This window comes from Homo sapiens, chromosome 5 (genome assembly GCF_000001405.40).
Source record: "Homo sapiens chromosome 5, GRCh38.p14 Primary Assembly".
NCBI classification, from domain to species: Eukaryota; Metazoa; Chordata; class Mammalia; order Primates; family Hominidae; genus Homo; species Homo sapiens.
In genome coordinates, this window is record NC_000005.10 from 132,685,990 (window position 1) to 132,706,711 (window position 20,722).

Here is a 20,722-nt window from a genome sequence, read left to right on the forward strand (position 1 = left end):
GTCTGAACCTTTCCCTCCTGGCTATCATACCTCCACCTTTTGCCAATGAATAAACTATCTGTAACTGGCATCTAGGGGGTAATAATTATTTATTGGAAAAATGAATCAAAAAATGATTTGGCTCAAATCTATGGCTGTCTTTTATGGAAACATTGTTGGGCTACAGTTACAAAGGGTCACCTCTGTTACAAATGCCAAGGGGGCTCTGCTTGTTGCTGTCCATGTCATTGACCCTGCTCTTGGTTTTTCTCTGCCCTCCTTCACATAATCTCAGGGTGCCCACATTATCTAAGGATGGGAATCTCAAGGCTAAGCACAACGCAGAGCTTCCTTATGGAGCTAGGCACAGCCTGGCCTATGACACACAGGGTTGGCTTCTCAGTTTCTAGTAGCTTCCACTAGGAGCAAGGCAGGCACTTTCTCTAGCCTTGGGGCTGATTTCTAGATTCAATTTATTAGCTCAAGTTTGAGTTCCATTCCCAGGTGGAGTACTAAAATCCCCAGTTAGCTGTCACGCCCAGCGTTTCCTCAACTGGGCTTTTGCCCTAAGTACCCAGACACCCTCTCCTTGGCTCTCTAAAGTGTTGTTGTTTTTTTTTTTTTTTTTTTTTTTTTAATGAGACAGAGTCTCGCTCTGTCACCCAGGCTAGAGTGCAGTGGCGAGATCTTGGCTCACTGCAACCTCCACCTCCCAGCTTCAAGCAATTCTCCTGCCTCAGCCTCCTGAGTAGCTGGGATTACAGGTGCCTGCCACCACACCTGCCTCATTTTTTTGTATTATTAGTAGAGATGGGGTTTCACTGTGTTGGCCAGGCTGGTCTTGAACTCCTGACCTCAGGTGATCCACCCACCTCGGCCTCCCAAAGTGCTGGGATTACAGGCATGAGCCACTGTACCCAGCCTAAAGTGGCTATCTTCTAATCCATCCTGTCAACTTCTTCCTAGTCCAACTTTAAGTCTCTAAGCTGTCTGTTCCTTCTAGTTTCTGATTAGCCAGAGTTCAGCCAAACGAAAATATGTTTTGATGTTTTGTATGCTCACTGCACACCTGGGTACTTACTAGGCAACGTGAATAAGAGGACACACATTTGCTCCCTCAGTTTATACCAATCACGAGTGCAAGCAAAACAGCTGAGAAGAGAGGGCGGTTACTCCTCTGGCTGATGACCCTTTCCACCTCCGGGACACAGGTGTGTATAGCATCTGCTCTCCCAACCACCATCCCAACCAGCATCCCGTCTTGCTCCCTCTAATCCTTCACAAACTCTCCAGCAGTTGTTTCTTTTTGTTTTGTTTTGTTTTTCTGAGACAGAATTTCACTCTGTCACTAGGCTGGAGTGCAGTGGTGCGATCTCGGCTCCCTGCAATCTCCGCCCCCGGGATTCAAGTGATTCTCCTGCCTCAGCCTCCCAAGTAGCTGGGACTACAGGTGCATGCCACCACGCCCAGGTAAATTTTTTTGTATTTTTAGTAGAGACGGGGTTTCACCATGTTGGCCAGGATGGTCTCAATCTCTTGACCTCGTGATCCACCTGCCTCAACCTCCCAAAGTGCTGGGATTACAGGGGTGAGCCACCACACCCGGCCCAGCAGTTGTTTTTCTAAAACACAAATAGGCCAGGTGCAGTGGCTCACGCCTGTAATCCCGGCACTTTGGGAGACTGAGATGGGAGCTTCGCTTGAACCCAAAAGTTCGAGACCAGCCTGGCCAACATCCTGTCTCTACAAAAAAAAAAAAAATTAAATTTTTACACAGCTGTGCTCTCAGCTAATTGGGAGGTTGAAGCAGGAGGATTGCTTTAGCCTGGGAGGTTGAGGCTTCAGTGAGCCTTGATCATGCCACTGTACTCCAGCCTGGGTGACAGTGAGACCCTGTCTCAAAATAAAACACAATGTGAATGGCCCACTTAAAATCCTTCTGTGGCTTCCCACTGCTTACAGAAAACTCTTCCACAGTAGGATCCTGTCCCATCTCTTTCCTTTTCAGGCTCATTTGCCTCCACCCCGTTTGCTCTACTTCAAGCACACCACCAACGCACATGGCATCCAAACTCACTCGCTCCTGGAATACCTTTCCCCAGCTGTTGAACTGCTGAAGACCTCAAACAGAACTTCCCCTGAGAAGCCTCTTCTGCCCCTTTGGTCAGGCAGACATGTGTCAGGCACCATGTCAGCTGCACAGGAAGGATGCCGTACCTGGCAGCTCACCATTCAGCCTCTTTTACCACAGCCCTCAGCATGCTATGCAGTCATTCTCCATTCATGTGGCCACCTCTCTCTCCTAAGGGAGGGTGTGAGTTTTGAAAAGACATTCTTCTCAGCATAGAGCAGGTACACAGTAAACACAGAAGAGATGTGCACATGTAACGGACTACAGCAGGAGATACACTTAAAACAGGGCACATGCTGGGCACAGTGGCTCACGCCTGTAACCTCAGCACTTTGGGAGCCCAAGGCGGGAGGACTGCTTGAAGCCAGGAGTTCCAAACCAACCTGGGCAACTTAGCAAGCTCCTATCTCTACAAAAAATTAAAAAATTAGCCAAGTGTAGTGGCAGACACCTGTGGTCCCAGCTACTTGGGAGGCTGAGGTGGATCATTTGAGCCTAAGAGTTTGAGGTCATAGTAAGCTATGATTGTGACACTGCACTCCAACCTGGGTGACAGAGTGAGACCCTGTCTCTAAAAATGAAAAACAAAACAGGCTACCTGGTGAGTAGCATAACTCATGGTGGGGTAGAAATCAAGGCCAACATAATATTTCTGTAATGACTCTGCTGCTTTTAGGTTGGGTTAGGCAATATCCTCTTGCTAAGATTAGTATCGACTCTGAGAAATACTTTATTCAGTTGTAAAGTCCCAGTTAAATTCCTTTGCACAACTGGAGAAATAAAGCCTTTGATTAAAAACTAAAATTTCCCCAGCCCTCTAAAAAGGGATGGGGGAGGGGAGCAGGTGGAGAGGAATATCTGATCTGTCATATTCTTTAGTCAGAGCCATAAACGTGTTTGGGTGAGACAATCTGATCTTCTGATAACGTTGATAAAAGTCACTTGAAGATTGGGTCACAGGAAGCCCAAGATAAATGCTGAGAGGAAACAGGTTCTTTTTGAAGTAGCCTCTTCGTAATCATTTTCCCACACATTTGTTCAACTTCCGAAAAAGGACTGAATACCTGATTTGCTTTGCAAATGAAACAGCTTAAGACAGAGAAATTGAGATAATAATTAATAAATGTGTTTGGAAGGCTCCTCCAGCTCGCTTTAAGTTCAGGCTGTGGCTTCAGAACTGTGTTAACTCCTTCTGTAAAGGCACAGGCTAACGGTGGTCTTCAGTGATTTTTACTCTACCTTGTTTTAAAAATGGATTCAAAGTGATTTATTGGAAAAGATTAAGACAGAAAATAACATTATTAGGACCAAAGCAGAAAGGGAGTAGGAGGAAATGATGATCCAGAGAAAAATAAGACTATAAGCAGGTCATCAGATATTATAGTCCTATCAGCAAAAGCACAGTGGAAAACGCATTATTTTACTTCACTCTTTTTATATATGCGGGGAGAAAATAGTCTGATATAATAATCTGGTACTTAGCTTTAAAAGAAATTTCTCGAGAATCTTCACAAGATGATAGGATGGACAATGTCTTCAGCAGCATCCCGACAACACAGGCAGTAACAGACGCGTTTGTAAGGGAGTGGCTCAGTGGTATCGCTTGATGAAACTGGACACCATAGCTCCAGAACTCAATTGCAGAAGAGGGGCAAAGGGGGAAAAGGCAGCACGATTTATTATCTTGTACATGCCAGGGCAGGCCTTTAATTTTGTCTTCATGTTCTACACACAGGTAAGAGTTTTACATAAGCTGGAAGTGGGGGAGAGGAAGACCCCTGGAATGACCAGAGGAGTTTCCACCCCTACAAAAAACACATTTTAAAAAAGCCACTTGACGCCAGGTGCAGTGGCTCACGCCTGTAATCCCAGCGCTTTGGGAAGCTGAGGCAGGCAGATCACGAGGTCAGAAGTTTGAAACCAGCCTGGCCAATATGGTGAAACCCTATCTCTACTAAAAATACAAAAATTAGCCGAGCATGGTGTTGCGTCTGTAGTACCAGCTACTTGGCAGGCTGAGGCCGGAGAATCGCTTGAACTCGGGAGGCAGAGGTTGCAGTGAGCTGAGATTGCGCCACTGCACTCCAGCCTGGGCAACAGAGTGAGACTCTGTCTCAAAAAATAAAAAGTAAAAATAAAAAATTATCCAGGTGTGAGGGCATGCACCTGTAGTCCTAGTTACTCAGGAGGCTGAGGCAGAAGGATTGCTTGAACCCAGGAGTTCAAGGGGGCAGTGAGCTATGAACGCACCACTGCACTCACGCCTGGGCAATAGAGCAAAACCCTGTCTTTAAAAACAAAGTCATTTGAGACACAAAATTACAGCTAGATAGAAGGTCTAGTGTTTTTATAGCACTGTAGAATGACTATAGTAAACAACAACATTTTCAAATAGCTAGAAAAGAAAATACTGAGTGTTCACAAGGACATAATGTCTGAGAAGATGTATATGCTAATTACCCTGATCTGATCATCATGTATTTTATCAAAACATCACGATATATCTCATAATATAATTATGTGTCAATTAAAAAATAAAAATTTCAGGCCGGGCGCGGTGGCTCATGCCTGTAATCCTAGCACTCTGGGAGGCCGAGGCAGGCGGATCACAAGGTCAGGAGATCAAGACCATCTTGGCTAACACGGTGAAACCCCGTCTCTACTAAAAATACAAAAAATTAGCCGGGCGTGGTGGCACATGCCTATAGTCCCAGCTACTCGGGAGGCTGAGGCAGGAGAATGGCGTGAACCCAGGAGGCGGAGCTTGCAGTGAGCTGAAATCGTGCCACTGCACTCCAGCCTGGGCAACAGATCAAGACTCTAAAAAAAAATAAAAACAAAAATAAAAATTTAAAGTCCTTTGAAACTTGTTGACAAATCAAAATTTCTCATTTTCTACTTTGAAGTTCTTAAGCCTGCCAGTCACAGTGCCTGGTAATCAATGTTTGTCAAAAGAACATGATTAACAATAACCCAAGTAATGTTATTGTCTTGGAGATACTTCAAGCTTCTGAATGAGATCATGGCACTGTTACCACTAAGTAATGGTACCTTTCATAGAATACATTCTACATACACACTTCCTTAAGTTATGACCTGAGAATTGGTTTCTGTTCTCAAACACATAATGAAAAGGATAACAAAATTCAGATAGAAGTATTTTTGGGGCTAGGCACAGTGGCTCACACCTGTAATTCCAGCACTCTGGGAGGCCGAGGTGGGTGGATCACCTGAGGTTGGGAGTTCGAGACGAGCCTGACCAACATGGAGAAACACCGTCTCTACTAAAAATACAAAGTTAGCCAAGCATGATGGTGCATGCCTGTAGTCCCAGCTACTCTGAAGGCTGAGGCAGGAGAATCACTTGAACTTGGGGGGCGGAGATTGCAGTGAGCTGAGATCGTGCCATTGCACTCCATCCTGGCCAACAAGAGCCAAACTCCATCTCAAAAAAAAAAAAGTATTTTTGGTGAAAAATACAGTTTATCAATGAGAAGAAGCACATTTAAAAACATTTCTCCAGCTGGGCACAGTAGCTCAGGCCTGTAATCCCAGCACTTTGGGAGGCTGAGGCGGGTGGATCACCTGAGGTCAGGAGTTCGAGACCAGCCTGAACAACATGGTGAAATTCCATCTCTACTAAAAATACAAAATTAGCCAGGCATGGTGGTGCATGCCTGTAATCCCAGCTACTCAGGAGGCTGAGGCAGGAGAATTGCTTGAATCCAGGAGGTGGAGGTTGCAGTGAGCTAAGACTGTGCCACTGCACTCCAGCCCGGGCAACAAGAGCAAAACTCTGTCTCAAAAAATAAGATAAATAAAATAAAATAATAAATAAAATAAAATAAAATAAAATAAAATTTAAAATAAAATAAAATAAAATTTAATTAAAAAAAAAGTTTCTCCAAAGAATCAAACTAAATGTCCATCAATGACAGATTGGATGAAGAAAATGTGGTACATATACACCATGGAATATTATGCAGCCATAAAAATGAATGAGATCATGTCTTTTGTGGGAACATGGATAGAGCTAGAGGCTATTATCCTTAGCAAACTAACATAGGAACAGAAAACCAAATACCGCATGTTGTCACTTATAAGTGGGAGCCAAATGATAAGATCTTATGAACACGAAGAAGGAAACAACAGACACTGGAGTCTACTTGAGGGGAGAGGATGAGAGAAGGGAGAAGAGCAGAAAAGATAACTATTGGGTATTGGGCTTAATACCTGGGTGATGAAATAATCTGTACAACAAAACCCCATGAGATGTGTTTACCTATGTAACAAACCTTCACATGTACCGCCAAACCTAAAAGTTTAAAGATGTAAATAACATCTCTCCCAGATTTGCTTCATGATTTCTGCTTAAAAGACCCACAACATTAAGCGTTTCTGGGTGTGAAACTACACAGGCCTCTCTTAACCACAAATTGAGATGCCAAGCACAAAGAACCTGCTCATTAATATCAGGGTGGAAGTAACCACAAAGATAGTTGAGAAAAGCAGCAGACCACTACTACAGGCATTAGGTAAAAGATTTTTATTCTTATTTAACCATGCTGCATGTATACATACAATACCAATATATACAACTTGAACAAATACAATTTATACATAAAATACAATGAAAGCATGGCTTTTGAAACTGATGCAACAAACTGTAATTTGTAATTTTGGCCAGCATACAGTATTATAGTAATGCTACTGAAGTTATTCATTAAATTAGTCAGACTACAGTATAAGTTCAAAGGCACTAGAAACATCTATGTTTTCTTCTAGTATTTTTAAGAACAAAAAATAATTTAAAATAAAACAAATGTATACATTAGGAAATTGGGCAGACATTGGTGTACTTAAATGTAAACGCTACCCATTCCTTAATTCACAGCCCTGTAGGAAAGAAGACTTTCCTTAAGAGTTAAGGGGAAGGATATTAAAAACAGACTAAAAGGAAACAAACAAAACAAAAAACAACCAAAAACCATAATCATAGTTTTAAAAACATGTTACAGAGGAAGTAGCACCACCCCCTCCCCCAATAAAACCTTAAATTTTTGCTGTAAAAAGAAAAAAAAAACAACTCCCTTTCTCCAGAAAGGAAATGAAATGGCTTGTCAAATGGATTCTATTCATGGGGCAAACATGGAGATGCGACCCTTCCCTTGATTACTCATCTCATGCTTTATAAGAATCTAAACACAAATAGGAAACACGATGATAATTTTAACATCCTATTAGTATATGTAATTGTAAGGATTATTAAAGAAGATACTATAAACCAATAATTCTACCAATGCTCCTTTTAATAAATAAATATCACTTTTTAAATTAAAGGGAAAAGAGAATACCCATTCAATAACCTATTTATATATATGTGCCACTCATTTTAAATCTGCATATTTATTTCAAAAAATGAGCAAGTGTGTTCATCTATATCGTCTCACGAAATTAACACTGACCTTACAACATATTTCATTTGTGGACAAAGACACAGTAAATGTGAGGAAACTACAGAATTGCTATGACTGGAGCTAAATGAATAGCTCTGAAGTCAGTGTCCCATATTTGCATATAGATATTCAGACCAGGCTTGAGGCCAGGCGTGGTGGCTCACACCTGTAATCCCAGCACTTTGGGAGGCTGAGGCGGGCGGATCACAAAGTCAGGTGAGACCAGCCTGGCCAACATGGTGAAACCCGGTCTCTACTAAAAAAAAAATACAAAAATTAGCTGGGTGTGGTGGCGCAAACCTGTAATCCCAGCTACTCAAGAGGCTGAGGCAGGAGAATCCCTTGAACCCAGGAGGCAGAGGTTGCAGTGAGCCGAGATCGCGCCACTGCACTCCAGCCTGGGCGACAGAGTAAGACTCCGTCTCAAAAAAAAAAAAAAGATATTCAGGCCAGGCTTATGTATCAAATTTTGGTATTTCTGAGATGGATATTTAATGTCCATCTGGTATAATCAGTTTTAACATAATGCTTTTTTTAAAAAACTGCTATAGTAGGCGGGGTGTGGTGGCTCAGGCCTATAATCATGCCTGTAATCCCAGCACTTCGGGAGCCTGAGGCGGGTGGATCACTTAAGCTCTAGGAGTTCAAGACAGGCCCGGGCAACATGGCAAAACCCCATCTCTACAAAAAAATACAAAAATTAGCCGAGCATGATGGCATACAGCTGTAGTTCCAGCAACTCAGGAGGCTGAAGAGACAGAGGTTACAGTGAGCCGAGATTGTCCCACTGCACTCCAGCCTAGGTAATAGAGCCAGACTCCGTCTCCAAACAAAAAACAAACACCCCTGCTATAGTAGCCTGCTTTTAGAACTTCTCAATTGACTTTTTATAGATCGGCTTTTTATTTTGACTTTTTATAGATTTATTTTTATTATCATGGTAGGGTGGGATAGAAAAAATATCTAACATACTGGCTTAAATTTCCATGTTTTAAAGCTTGATTTAAAAGTTACTCCTTTCCTATTAACTGAATTGTTAAAGGTTAGAAACATGAACTTTTAAAAAGAAGCGTTTTTTTTAAACTGGTAAAATTAAGATTTCTTTAGAGTAATTACTAACAGAGTTAAATGTGTATCATCAAAAACATTTTATAATTACCAAAATATTCTGATCACACAAAGCTTTTACAAGACACATATTTACCTCAACTCTTCACAGTATCTAAACAATGCCCCACAGAGTTAAGTAATAAATTTCTAGCTATCTTACATACCACAAACAAATGCAGCCAGTGAAATGCAATTCTAATCACCTAGAAAATGTTCACCACACACAGGACATTCAGTATTCCAATTACAGAATGGACTTTAAATTTATGGGTACATTTTTATCGCCACCTCAAGAGTACTCCACCTTCACTCACCCCTACTCTATACACAGCTTTGTCATTTAAACTAGGATTTAACAAAACTTATTAAAATAATATTAATTTAATAAATACTAACTTATAAAGTCTCAAAATATTTTCAACCAATGTGTTTCAGGGCTGATTACATAATTTTGAAAACCACAAAACATATATTAAGTGGTTTAGGAGTAGCATAACTTTATTTTTATTTTATTTTTATTTTTTGAGGTGGAGTGTCACCCTGTCACCCAGGCTGGAGTGCAGTGATGCCATCTCAGCTCACTGCAACCTCCGCCTCCCAGGTTCAAGTGATTCTCCTGCCTCAGCCTCCCAAGTAGCTGGGATTACAGGTGTGCGCCACCACACCCAGCTAATTATTGTATTTGTACTGGAGACAGGGTTTCACCATGTTAGCCAGGCTGGTCTCGAACTCCTGACATCAAGTGATCCACGTGCCTCGGCCTCCCAAAGTGCTGGGATTACAGGCGTGAGCCACCATGCCCGGCCAGGAGTAGCATAACTTTAAAAAAATACAATAAAAGTTTCATAAGCAGCTAACAACAGAAAAAAATAATTATCTCTATTACAACTTACTTTACTATGAAATCAACATAGTTTTTATTTGTAGAGGAATATGGTCTAACTGGATTACCCAATAGAAGAAATTCAGAAAATAATATTTTATTTTTAAAATAGAAAAACAAAATAAAAAAGTGTTTTAAAGGCAAAGTATTTAAAAGATATTTTTCTTGCTTAGCTGTATTTTCTGGAAAATGGAGACTCTTCTTAACTGGGAGACATAAAGTAATTCCCACCAAAATTTAGAACTCAAAGAAAAGCATCCATAACACTTCAGAGTGAATTTTTAAAAATATACACGCAGGCAAAGATAACTGAGCAGTATTTAGCTTCTTAATTTTCCGCAACAGTAGATCCTTTATATTTACGTACAATTCAATGTTTCAAGAGAACATGAAACCAGAACTTAAGGTGTATTTGATTTGAACTCAAACTGGCAAAAAAAAGTTAGGAAAGGTTCAGATGAAACATTTTCAACTTGTTAAAAAACATGTATACTCGCAAAGACTGTTAAATTATAACATTTTCTACAAAACATTCATAAGATCAGTCATCTCATACTTAAAATGCAACAAATGTTAGACAATTAGAATGTGTTCAAACAGGCTGGGTGGGTGTTAGGACGGAATCATTCTTTAGATGTACAGTCCAAACATTCATATATAACAGCGCAACATAGGACAATCTGATCTGCTTCTTTCTATGTGCAAAACAGGACACAGTTTTTTTTTTTCTATTTTGAAATTCTAGTTACCTAAATATACAGTAGTTGGATAAATAGCTAATCGATTTACACATACATCTAAACTGTAACTCTCTATAGTATGAACTGTTCCCCCAACTTCCCTGCACAGTACAATTGAAGAGTAGTAGTACAACAATTTGAACAATCACCAGTTGTACAATTTTAATGTTATATTAATATATGTAGACTAAAAGTTCTTAAGCAAATTATTATTTCCAGTCTTATTCATTGATCTACAACTTCCATTAATTGAAATTATAGAGAAGTCTTCACTGTTTTAATTAAAGATTTTGTCCAGGCATGAGAATATCACTAATTTTTATTGTGACTTTAAGTCTGTAACATTTACTGCAGTAAAGAGTCAATTACAGTTTCAGGCTTTGCAGAACGCTTTCTGTTTGGAGAAGAAAAAAAGCAATCATGAATGCTTTCCTAAAAGACTGAAATGCAAACATTTAACATTATATAGAAACTATGGGGTGGCCTGTATAGTCTGGAAACAAGCCAAAATTTGACACGTTTGACCATGGTAAGTGTTCAATTAATGCTCGCCTTTTCAGGCTACGGGAAGCTAACTTAAAGTAAATGCAAGAGGATGGCAGCCCACCCCATTATGCCAGATAGTGAAGGATAGGACAGGTGATAATTTCCAAGACTAGACTAGGTCATGTGGCCAGGCCAAGTGAGCTGCATGCTTGCCAGATTTGAACTTCCTGATTATCTCTTCTGAGGTACTCAAAAGGTGCAAGTGGATTCAGAGGAAATCAGAAACAAATCATCTCAGGCAATACCTGATGCATATGTAGGGACTTATGGAAATGCTACATTAATGTATTATATTTATTGCAATTTTGCCTAGCCCATCTAACTATGTGTTTCTAACAAGGAACATCACATTGAACATATCATATAATGTAACATAGCATCAATAAACCATTTAATGCATGTATTTGTCCATGTTTATGGCTACCATTTTCTTAGGGTTTCCATGGTTATAGCAGGCCAATTCCAGTATACAGAGATGGTGAGTTTGGCTCATATAATGTTGGGCCACACGATTTTTTTAATGTTAAACTAAAAAAATGACGTATCTTAAAATGGATGTTCTGGAAAACGTATTCAAATATCATATTATTTATTCATTTGCTTTAGGGTCCATATAGTTAAAAAAAAAAAAAGTAAAATTGACAGATCTCAAGTAAATAATTCGAATTTCTGGCTTTTCCTTAGAAAAGAGAAGATCCAGGCCAGGCACGGTGGCTCATGCCTGTAATCATAACACTCTGGGAGGCTGAGGTGGGCAGATCACCTGAAGTCAGGGGTTCGAGACCAGCCTGGCCAACAGGGCAAAACCCCATCTCTAGTAAAAATACTAAAATTAACTGGGCATGGTGGCAGGTGCCAGTAATCCCAGCTACTCAGGGCACTCCAGCCTGGGCAACAGAGTGAGACTCCATCTCAAAAAAAAGAAAAGAAAAGAAAACAGAAGATCCAGAAACAATGAGCCCTCTATTTCCATAGATAACTAGGAAGAGAATAGCAGCCACTCACTTTAGACAGGACTGCTCACCACTGCCAATTTTTCTCCTACGCTGGGGACAAATGTCTTACCATTTATCATCACACTTGCACTGTCATTTTATTAAAAATGGAAAAAAAGATACATCTAAAGGGACTCATGTTTCTTAGAACTGATTTGCTTCACTACAATATGCTTGGCATGTGTTGGTATAGGAAAGTTTTTAACCCCTCACCTAAATGCTAAAGAATGTAAAAATTTGTACATTTTTAATATTCAACTGTTTGCCCAACCCTGAGTTCAACCATCCCAAATTTATAAGTGTTAAGTCATGTCTATGAGATTATGTAACACAAAGATATCAAAACCGTACAACTTCATCCCACATGTAACTTGAAAGTCCATGCACTCAAAGTAGGGAAAAAAGCAGCTTATTATTTCCTACATTTTAGGAGCCCCAGAGTCTTAAAATCAGCTTAAATAAACTGAACAGTCCTTGATGTAGGAAAGGGAAAGGAAAAAAAAATAAGCTCCAGCCCAGGACTCCCATATCCCGATTTCCCTGAGCTTATGTGATGATACACGCAGACTACCCAACAGTCAAAACCAGTGCCCAAAGGAGAGGGGGAAATGTCCAAGGAAGTTCTCCTTAGCTGGTGACTGAGGAAATCAAGGTTCTTGGGGCACCTGACAGAAAAACTAACCAGCTGAATACAATACCTTGGGAGACCAAACAGGCAAATTAATTAGCATTTCATAAGAAGAATTAGTCTAAGAATTAAGGAATTAAACCCATTATACATTTGGAAATAACAGAGTGAATTAAAAATAAATTCTATTACTCAGAAGCCTAAGAAGTTGGAAGACCTTAATTCTTTGGCCAGATTTTATTTACTCAAATTCTAATACATAAGGAATTTGATTTTTTTTTTTTTTTTTTGAGACCAAGTCTTGCTCTGTCACCCAGGCTGAAGTTCAGTGGCATGATCTCATGATCTCGGCTAACTGCAACCTCCGGCTCCTGGGTTCAAGCGATTCTCATGCCTCAGCCTCCCCAGTAGCTGGGATTACAGGCATGCGCCACCATGCCTGGTTAACTTTTGTATTTTTAGTAGAGACAGCGTTTCACTATGTTAGCCAGGCTGGTCTCAAACTCCTGACCTCAAATGATCCACCTGCCTCGGCCTCCCAAAATGCTGGGATTACAGGCGTGAGCCACTGTGCCCAGCCAGGAATTTGATTTTTAATAAATCAGCCAAAATATGTATCATGTTTTAACTAAATAAATTTTAACTTCCTGTACATGTATCTAATTAGAATACCTCAATGCCTTCGTTTTACCAGATTCAAGGACAGTCCTTACCTTCTCCCTGTCTTTGGCCTTGCTTTCCCCTTTGAAGTTCGTGGTCTTTCTAGTTTCATCAAAGACTGACGCAGACTCTCCTCAGTATAGGCAAGATACACGTGAGAAAGGTCCACCTCAAAGGGCTAAGTAAAAGAAACAAACACAAAGCACTCTTAAGGCAAAGAGTTAAAGCCAGATTTGGGGGAAGATTTAAAATACTGAATAAACTCCTTGATCAAACCCACAGAAGCTAAAACCAAAGAAATGTCTAATGACATCATCTTCTAATCCCAGTATCTAAAATGTACTTAATAAAGGTTGGTGAGTAAGAAGCCCTGACACACTATAAATTTCCTTGGACATAAAAACTGTTGCTGTTTTTCTTAAAGCTGCCCCCTCTTCTTCTTCTTTTTTTTTTTTTTTTGAGACGGAGTCTCACTCTGTCGCCCAGGCTGGAGTGCAGTAGCGCGATCTGGGCTCACTGCAAGCTCCACCTCCTGGGTTCACGCCATTCTCCTGCCTCAGCCTCCTGAGTAGCTGGGACTACAGGCACCCGCCACCACGCCCGGCTAATTTTTTTTGTATTTTTTTAGTAGAGACGGGGTTTCACTGTGTTAGCCAGGATGGTCTTGATCTCCTGACCTCGTGATCCACCCGCCTCGGCCTCCCAAAGTGCTGGGATTACAGGCGTGAGCCACCACGCCCGGCCCGCTCCCTCTTCTTCTTGACCTAGGACTAGAACTAGCTTTGAAGAGAAAGAAAGACACATTCTAGTCTCCACCCATAATCCTACGACCCAGAGTGGTAGTGAAAAGAGGACTCCAAAGAGTGAGTCCATGCCCCTCTTGTGGTGGGAATAAGCCTGACATCAAGACTGATGGTAAGCAGAACTGTCCTCCTCATCACCCCATCCTAGAGCCTTTATTCCCAAAAGTATCAGCCCATTTTTCAGCAGAGCTGATTAACAGATATCAAGTTGATAATACAATTTAATGACTCATATTCCTATAAAGAAACAACAGTAGTTTTGTGTTTTGTTTTGTTTTTTTTTAAGTACTCTTACATCTTTCTCCTTTTTATCAGGTACTGGGGTTTGCTTCCTCATGTTATTTCCTGTATAAGCAACACATTTCTCAAAAAAAGAAAAGGGAGAGACAGAGAAATGTCTTAATTAGTAATCAATACTGTGAGTTAGGCAAATAACTGAGAAATCCTAACATTACACTAGTAAAACATGATTTGAATGCTAGAGCAGAAAGGGCCCCAGAGGTCACTTAGTCCCACATAGCCCCTAACTCTGACCATTTCCACCCAGACCATGATCTGTATGTTACAATTAATTACATGGAATTAGAAAAATATTTTATCTGCCCTACTGGATTCTCATCTGATTCATCTACTGGACCATGTTCCTCCCCACTGTAGCCAGCACAATTTCTAGACCATAGGAAGTACTCTTTAATTATTACGTGAAAGAATGAAGGTAATACTCACTAGCTGCCATTCTCCTATGTCTTCATTCCAATGGACATAGTTTTCAATCATTTCCTTTTAAAAGGGTGAAAGATAGCCTATTTTTAATATTTAATAACATCTAAAATATTGAAGTCATAAAACTAAAATCTTAATAACATTGAGTAATAAAAGTCTCAAAACATTATATACTGATATAACCTTTTTATAAATTCTAAAATACATATTTCTTAGGAATGCATGCAGATGAAATAAAACTAAATGAAAATGAAAAAACAACAGAATGAGAAACTTGGGAATCAAGATAATGATTACCTTGGGTTGGAAGAGGCAAAGGAATGAAATAAGGGAAGGGGAAACTGGTTAGAAGTAGTTATTATCAGGGTCCTAGATATTGTTTTGGGTGATGAGTTCATTACAAAATAACTAAATAAAAGCAGGCCATCCAAGGACCAATAAGGAGAATGTACCATGAACCCAGGACTAATTCCATGTACCTGAGGTCCAAAAAAAAAAAAAATGACTAAGACTTATTTTCAGACAAATTTCTTAAAACTGTATTGAGATTCAAAACAGATTTTTAAAAAATTGGCCAGGCATGGTGGTTAACACCTGTAATCCCATCATTTTGGGAGGCCAAAACGGGCAGATCAACCTGAGCTCAGGAACTCAAGACCAGCCTGGCCAACATGGCTAAACCCCATCTCTACTAAATATACAAAAATTAGCTGGGTGTGGTGGTACACGCCTGTAATCCCAGCTACTCGGGAGGCAGAGGCATGAGAATCACTTGAACCCGGGAAGTGAAGGTTGCAGGGAGCCGAGATTGCACCACTGCACTCCAGCCTGGGCAACAAAGTGACTCTGTCTCCCTGACAAAAAAAAAAAAAAAAAAAATCATGTTAAAGTTTACCAAAATGCACTGGAAAGACAAATTTTGGATTAAAAAAAATAGAGGCTGAGATTTTAAAATTATACTAGTACTAAGAATTAGCATCCATCTGGAGATGAATGATGGTACAGGTTGCACAACAATGTGAATGTCCTAAATGCCATTGAACTGCACACTTAAAATAGCTAAGATGGTAAATTTCATGTTATCTATATTTTACCATATACACACACACACACAAAGAATCAGCACCCACAGCAGGGAGAAAAAGGCAGCACAGAGGTTCCATTTATTCTACTTGTATGATAATGGGCGCTGAATGAAGGAATGGGACCTACACCTTGATTCTGATCACATATACATGAATCTGAGTTCGTCTAAAAGGCTAGATACTCAAACAGAGATTATGTATTAAAAGTTAACAACTAAAGTGAAATGTGATGGCATTTGTTCAAAAAATTGTACATTCAATAACTGAAGTATTAAGTATTTATCATCAGTTAAATTAGAAATCTTTGTTCCTTAATCCCAGTCAAGCGACTATCTCGGTCAGAGAACTTCCTTTTTACCTGATAATCCCGAGGTATAAAGTTATCAATAATAAGCATCTGAAGTCGAAGCTCCCGGCTAAGTTGCCGAATGTTCTCCAGTAGGCCTTCAATTTCCCTCTGATGTTCTTGTTGGAGATCAGCCATCTACCAGAAAATCCATAAAAATATTATGAACAAACAAGACTTTAACTACAAAACAGCACCATCTCACATAGGATGCTTGTCTAAGAAACCTTGTGAGAGCTTACCTAGTTCTTTTATAAAAATGATAAACAGCGTGACACTATCAGCATCTATTCTACACTATTTGTTAAGGTTGAAAAGAAACAATTTAGACTAATAGATAAAATTAAAAATTGCACATAAAGAAATATTTTATTTCTTTTAAATTATAAGCTCACATTATGATTATTTATAAATTCTTAATCAAAGAACTCCCTTTTAAAAAATCCAGAACTGCATTAGTAGGTAATTTCTAAGAGAACCAACCTCTGACTTTGCAGCCATCAGCATAGTCCAAACTTTCTTTAACTTCTTGGTCTTTCCCTGTGCTTCCTCTTGCAAACTGGTATATTTTTCTTCAATATCCAAGCGTTCTTGCTATGACAAAAATTAGTAAACTTCAGAATAAATTTCTTTGTAAAATCAAATATCTAATTCTTTAACAAATGACATAAATGTTTAGCAAATCTGATCTTCAAAGCAATCCATAAATATGCTTTAAAATTTCAATACGATTATAGATATTTAGCTTTCCACTAGAAAAGTTAAATCTCTCTGGCAAAATACCAAACTAAAAACAGAAAGTCACATTACCTCTTTTTCCTCAAGTTCTCTGCGAAGTTGCTCTGCTCTTTTCCTCCTTTCTTCCAGTTCCATGTTAGATTCTTCAAGAAGTTTCTCTTGTTCCTCAGCTTTGGCCAACAAGTCAACCCCACCAACAATTACCTTCTTTTCCAGGGCAGATAATTTTTCCAGCAAAGACTGATGCTCTTGTCTGTTGATTAGAATGAGAATACTCTATATTCACTGATGATCTATTATTCTACTAATATCATTTCCCAAAATTTAAAATTTGGATATACAATTTCAAAATAGAAATATAATTATGTAACATCTCTGCCAAATTACACCACTGTGTAGTATCGATTTCTAACTTAATTTATAACTCATTCTAATTCATTGATATGTTTTCCTATCACACGGAAATAAAATAACCAAAATAGATCTAGTTTTTAGAAATACACTATATACAATGGACCCTTCTATCCAAAATAGCTACACTGGAGACAAAAATCCAAGCTTTTAATTACTATTCAATTTTCCTATTTTATATATCCTAGGAAAAAACAGAAATTTAAATCATGAATTCATCTCAATTCAATAATACTCACTGGGCTTTAAGAAGATCTTTTTCCCGTTTCTCTAATTCAGCTCTAGCCTTGTTTCTTTCTTCTTCTTCCATGTCGAGCTTTGTTTCAAGTGCTTTTCTCTCCTCATCAATTTTTGCTTGCATTTCAATCATCTTGTCTGGGGAGACTTTCTTTTTTCCTATTTGAATCATTTAATTGCAACAATCACTAAAATGAATCAATGTTTCAGACTTATATAAATTACCTCCTTCAATATAGAAATGCCTACACTCCTCAATAATACAAAACCAATTATCAATATTTTAAGGAAATCAAACCAATAATATCATGCATTTCCATTTATTATGCTCCTAGAACTTTATAACTCATTGCTAAATTCAAACTGTTGTCCAATTGTACAATGATAACTAAGAACAAAAGCGAAAGAGAAGCAAAATAGATGAGCTAAATAATAGGAAAAGAAAGATTAACAGGAAAGCCAAATTAAAAAATATATATGTCCCCAGATAACAAATATAGGTTAAAAAAAAAGCAACATGATTCTTCAGTTACTTTTTCCTGATAACCAAGTATAAAATCAAGCGACTCCTTAAAATATCTTCCCCAAGTTCACATAAAACAAGTGAATAAAAGTCATATATAGGTATAAAATGCACAGATGAAAATATCAGGCAGAATTTACATCAAGTAGTTTTAATATATTTTTCAGAGTTTTTCTAAAATTTTTGTTTAATAACATTAAAGTATTTTATTTCACAGCATACTTTTAAAGGAAAAAATTCTATACTATGTAATTATGTAACAGTTACATACACAGTAATTAACCAAGCATTTCACAGTTGCTGAGCTGTCAAGATATATCATCATACACTAAAGGAACAACTAAAATAGCTTGTTATTATGTCAAACTCAGGACCCGAAGGCTCCCTAAGTCAGAGTAAACATGCCAAGTGTCAAATATAAGTAGAAATACTACCAAATAATAAAGCTGGAATATGGCTTCCAATTGATTATTTTTGCTAATAATGTCTAATAAAGTATTTTACATACATGTAATAGGTGCTCAAAGAAAGTTTATTAATGAATTTCAAAATAACAAAATCCAAATGAAAAAGAGAAAATAAAACTAGCTTATTAAACTGGTGATGAAACTGAATCAAAGACAATTCATTTCTGGTCATACAGTTTCTTAGAAACATACATTCCTTCAGAAAACCAATAACACTTTTCACAGAATTGGTCTGAGGCTCTCCTAGAACCTTTCCGTCATTCTTAACTTCCTTCCCAAAGAACTACAGAAGAAGAGTGTAAATCATAAGAGTGTATAAATTGTTAATGTCTCCACCCAAAAGCTAACCCCCACCACCTAACAAGGAAAAAGAACTGAAAAATAATTATGATGGAGATATATAACTGAGTATATTTTTTCAGGAACTATGAAATGAAGAATCATTAATAGGCTTTAACTCTTTATGACAAAATTATGTAAAAAACTCTAGGGTTTAAAATACATTATTTGTATAGAACTGTAAGTCCAGAGCAAACCTAAGACACAAGACAAATGAAATAAAAGAGTAAATAAAAGCACTGATCCAAATTCATGCTTTGGTGTGGTGTGATTCATTGCATTCCAAAAGTCAGGATGTAGACTGATTCTATTTACTGGCTTGTTTGGCACAGTCATCTGTATTGAATCTTTTGAATTAGCTGTTAAAAAATAACTTTAAAATAATTTAACTACTATTCCCAAACTACTTATCCCATCAGTCATACTATGTCTTAGAAATTTGAAGGAGAAAAGTATCAGTTCAGGTATATAGTAAGTATACGCATTTAAAAAAGTGTAACTTCCTTTCCACCTGAGAATTATAAATATTTAAAGACAAAATGGGACATATGTTAAGACAAAAATAATAAATGCATGAAGACACTGATGCTAACAGTATAGAGGAAATGATCTAATCAACATATGAACAGTAGTATGTACAGGCTTCAAGGGTTCTAATTGTTTCAATAGTTAAAAACAGTTTCAAAACCCATTAAGAAGCAGTAAAATAAAAAGTTTTTTAAATAAAAAGATTTTACATGTGGAAATACAAAGACACATAACTGTTCATGCATTAATGCATTACATTAGTAATTTAAAACCATTCAGGTATGTTTCCAAACTGATACTTTAGCAGCAAAAATCTTATTGTGGTCTTGTAACACTTTCATGAAGACAATCAAAGATATATAGCCAGGGTTAGTTTCAAAAGCCTAATATTTAAGTAACATATTACTTTAGCCAGAATCACTCTGACAAATCATTATATTTCTCCACAAATAATATTTTAAGCTAAATGTGAATATGTGCTAACTCTCCTAACCAGGTATTTAAAAATGTGACATCAGTAAAAGTCACTTTTATATGTATTTTTCAAAGGACTTTTTTTTAAAAAAACCTTCTTAAACCAATCAAACAAAAAAGAAATCTATTTCTAACAATGCATGATAAAATTCAGCACAAAATTTCAGGTAAATAAATATTTTTAAAAGTTAATGCCATAAACAGTATTTAACTAAACCAGACATAAGTAGCAACATTTTTTTATTGCCCTTTGCCATGTGCTCTAACCAATATTGTGAACGTTAACCGGCCAGGGTAAGTCAAAGGGGAAGAACTTCAGGGCAGTCCTAATTGAATTAATTTCATTTTTATTACATAAGCAACCACGGCATAACCAGGTATTTGATTCTTGGCTTTAAGAAAAAAGGAGAAAAATGTTTGAATGTGAAATAATTTACACTTGTATTTCCAAACTTTGGCTTAATGAGTCTTTAAGAATTTAGGGAAAAAAATGAAGTTCTTTTTAAAAGCTAAAGTTGAAAGATTGTTAAAAATACAAAAGATAGATACTTACCTGGTAAAAAAACTACTAAATTTTAAAAATTTAATGTATTTAAATAACATAGTTCTTTATAGGATAAATAATTGTACCATGTGGAGTGCAAATCAATCACACCAACCTGCTTGATCTTGCAATAAGAAGTAGTAAGCAAATCGCAGACAGGAAGCAATACGCACAGAGATGAGGAGGAAAAAAAGGAAAACATTATTTCTCTTGTGAAACAAAGAAAAATATATAATAGCATTCATTTAAGTGTAGAAATAAAAATCAAACCGTTATCAAAACTGAAATAGAGCCCATGTAAAAAGAAAGCATATTCAACACAACGAGAGATGTCATTTAAGCAAGAATATTAAAGTTAACTTAGTCTTAGATTATA

At 37.8% G+C, this 20,722-nt stretch overlaps 1 protein-coding gene across 5 annotated transcripts in view; it reads right to left on the reverse strand.

Annotated features, from left to right (window-relative positions):
• Positions 1-2,822: 2,822 nt before the first annotated feature.
• The window catches only part of KIF3A (kinesin family member 3A), a 48,735-nt gene continuing 30,835 nt past the window's right edge, over positions 2,823-20,722 (reverse strand). For 2 of the 5 annotated variants that reach the window (NM_001300792.2, NM_001300791.2), the window contains 9 exons: positions 20,462-20,470; positions 17,474-17,630; positions 16,896-17,076; positions 16,569-16,679; positions 16,098-16,223; positions 14,658-14,711; positions 14,227-14,295; positions 13,182-13,306; positions 6,642-10,693 (listed from right to left, as the gene is read on the reverse strand). In NM_001300792.2, coding sequence (NP_001287721.1) covers positions 10,645-10,693; positions 13,182-13,306; positions 14,227-14,295; positions 14,658-14,711; positions 16,098-16,223; positions 16,569-16,679; positions 16,896-17,076; positions 17,474-17,630; positions 20,462-20,470 — 881 coding nt within the window. In that variant the 3' untranslated portion in view covers positions 6,642-10,644. Of the gene's footprint in view, positions 3,744-6,641; positions 10,694-13,181; positions 13,307-14,226; positions 14,296-14,657; positions 14,712-16,097; positions 16,224-16,568; positions 16,680-16,895; positions 17,077-17,473; positions 17,631-20,461; positions 20,471-20,722 lie in introns of those variants that run through there. The other 3 variants (XM_006714526.5, XM_017008996.3, NM_007054.7) reach the window with 3 other exon arrangements.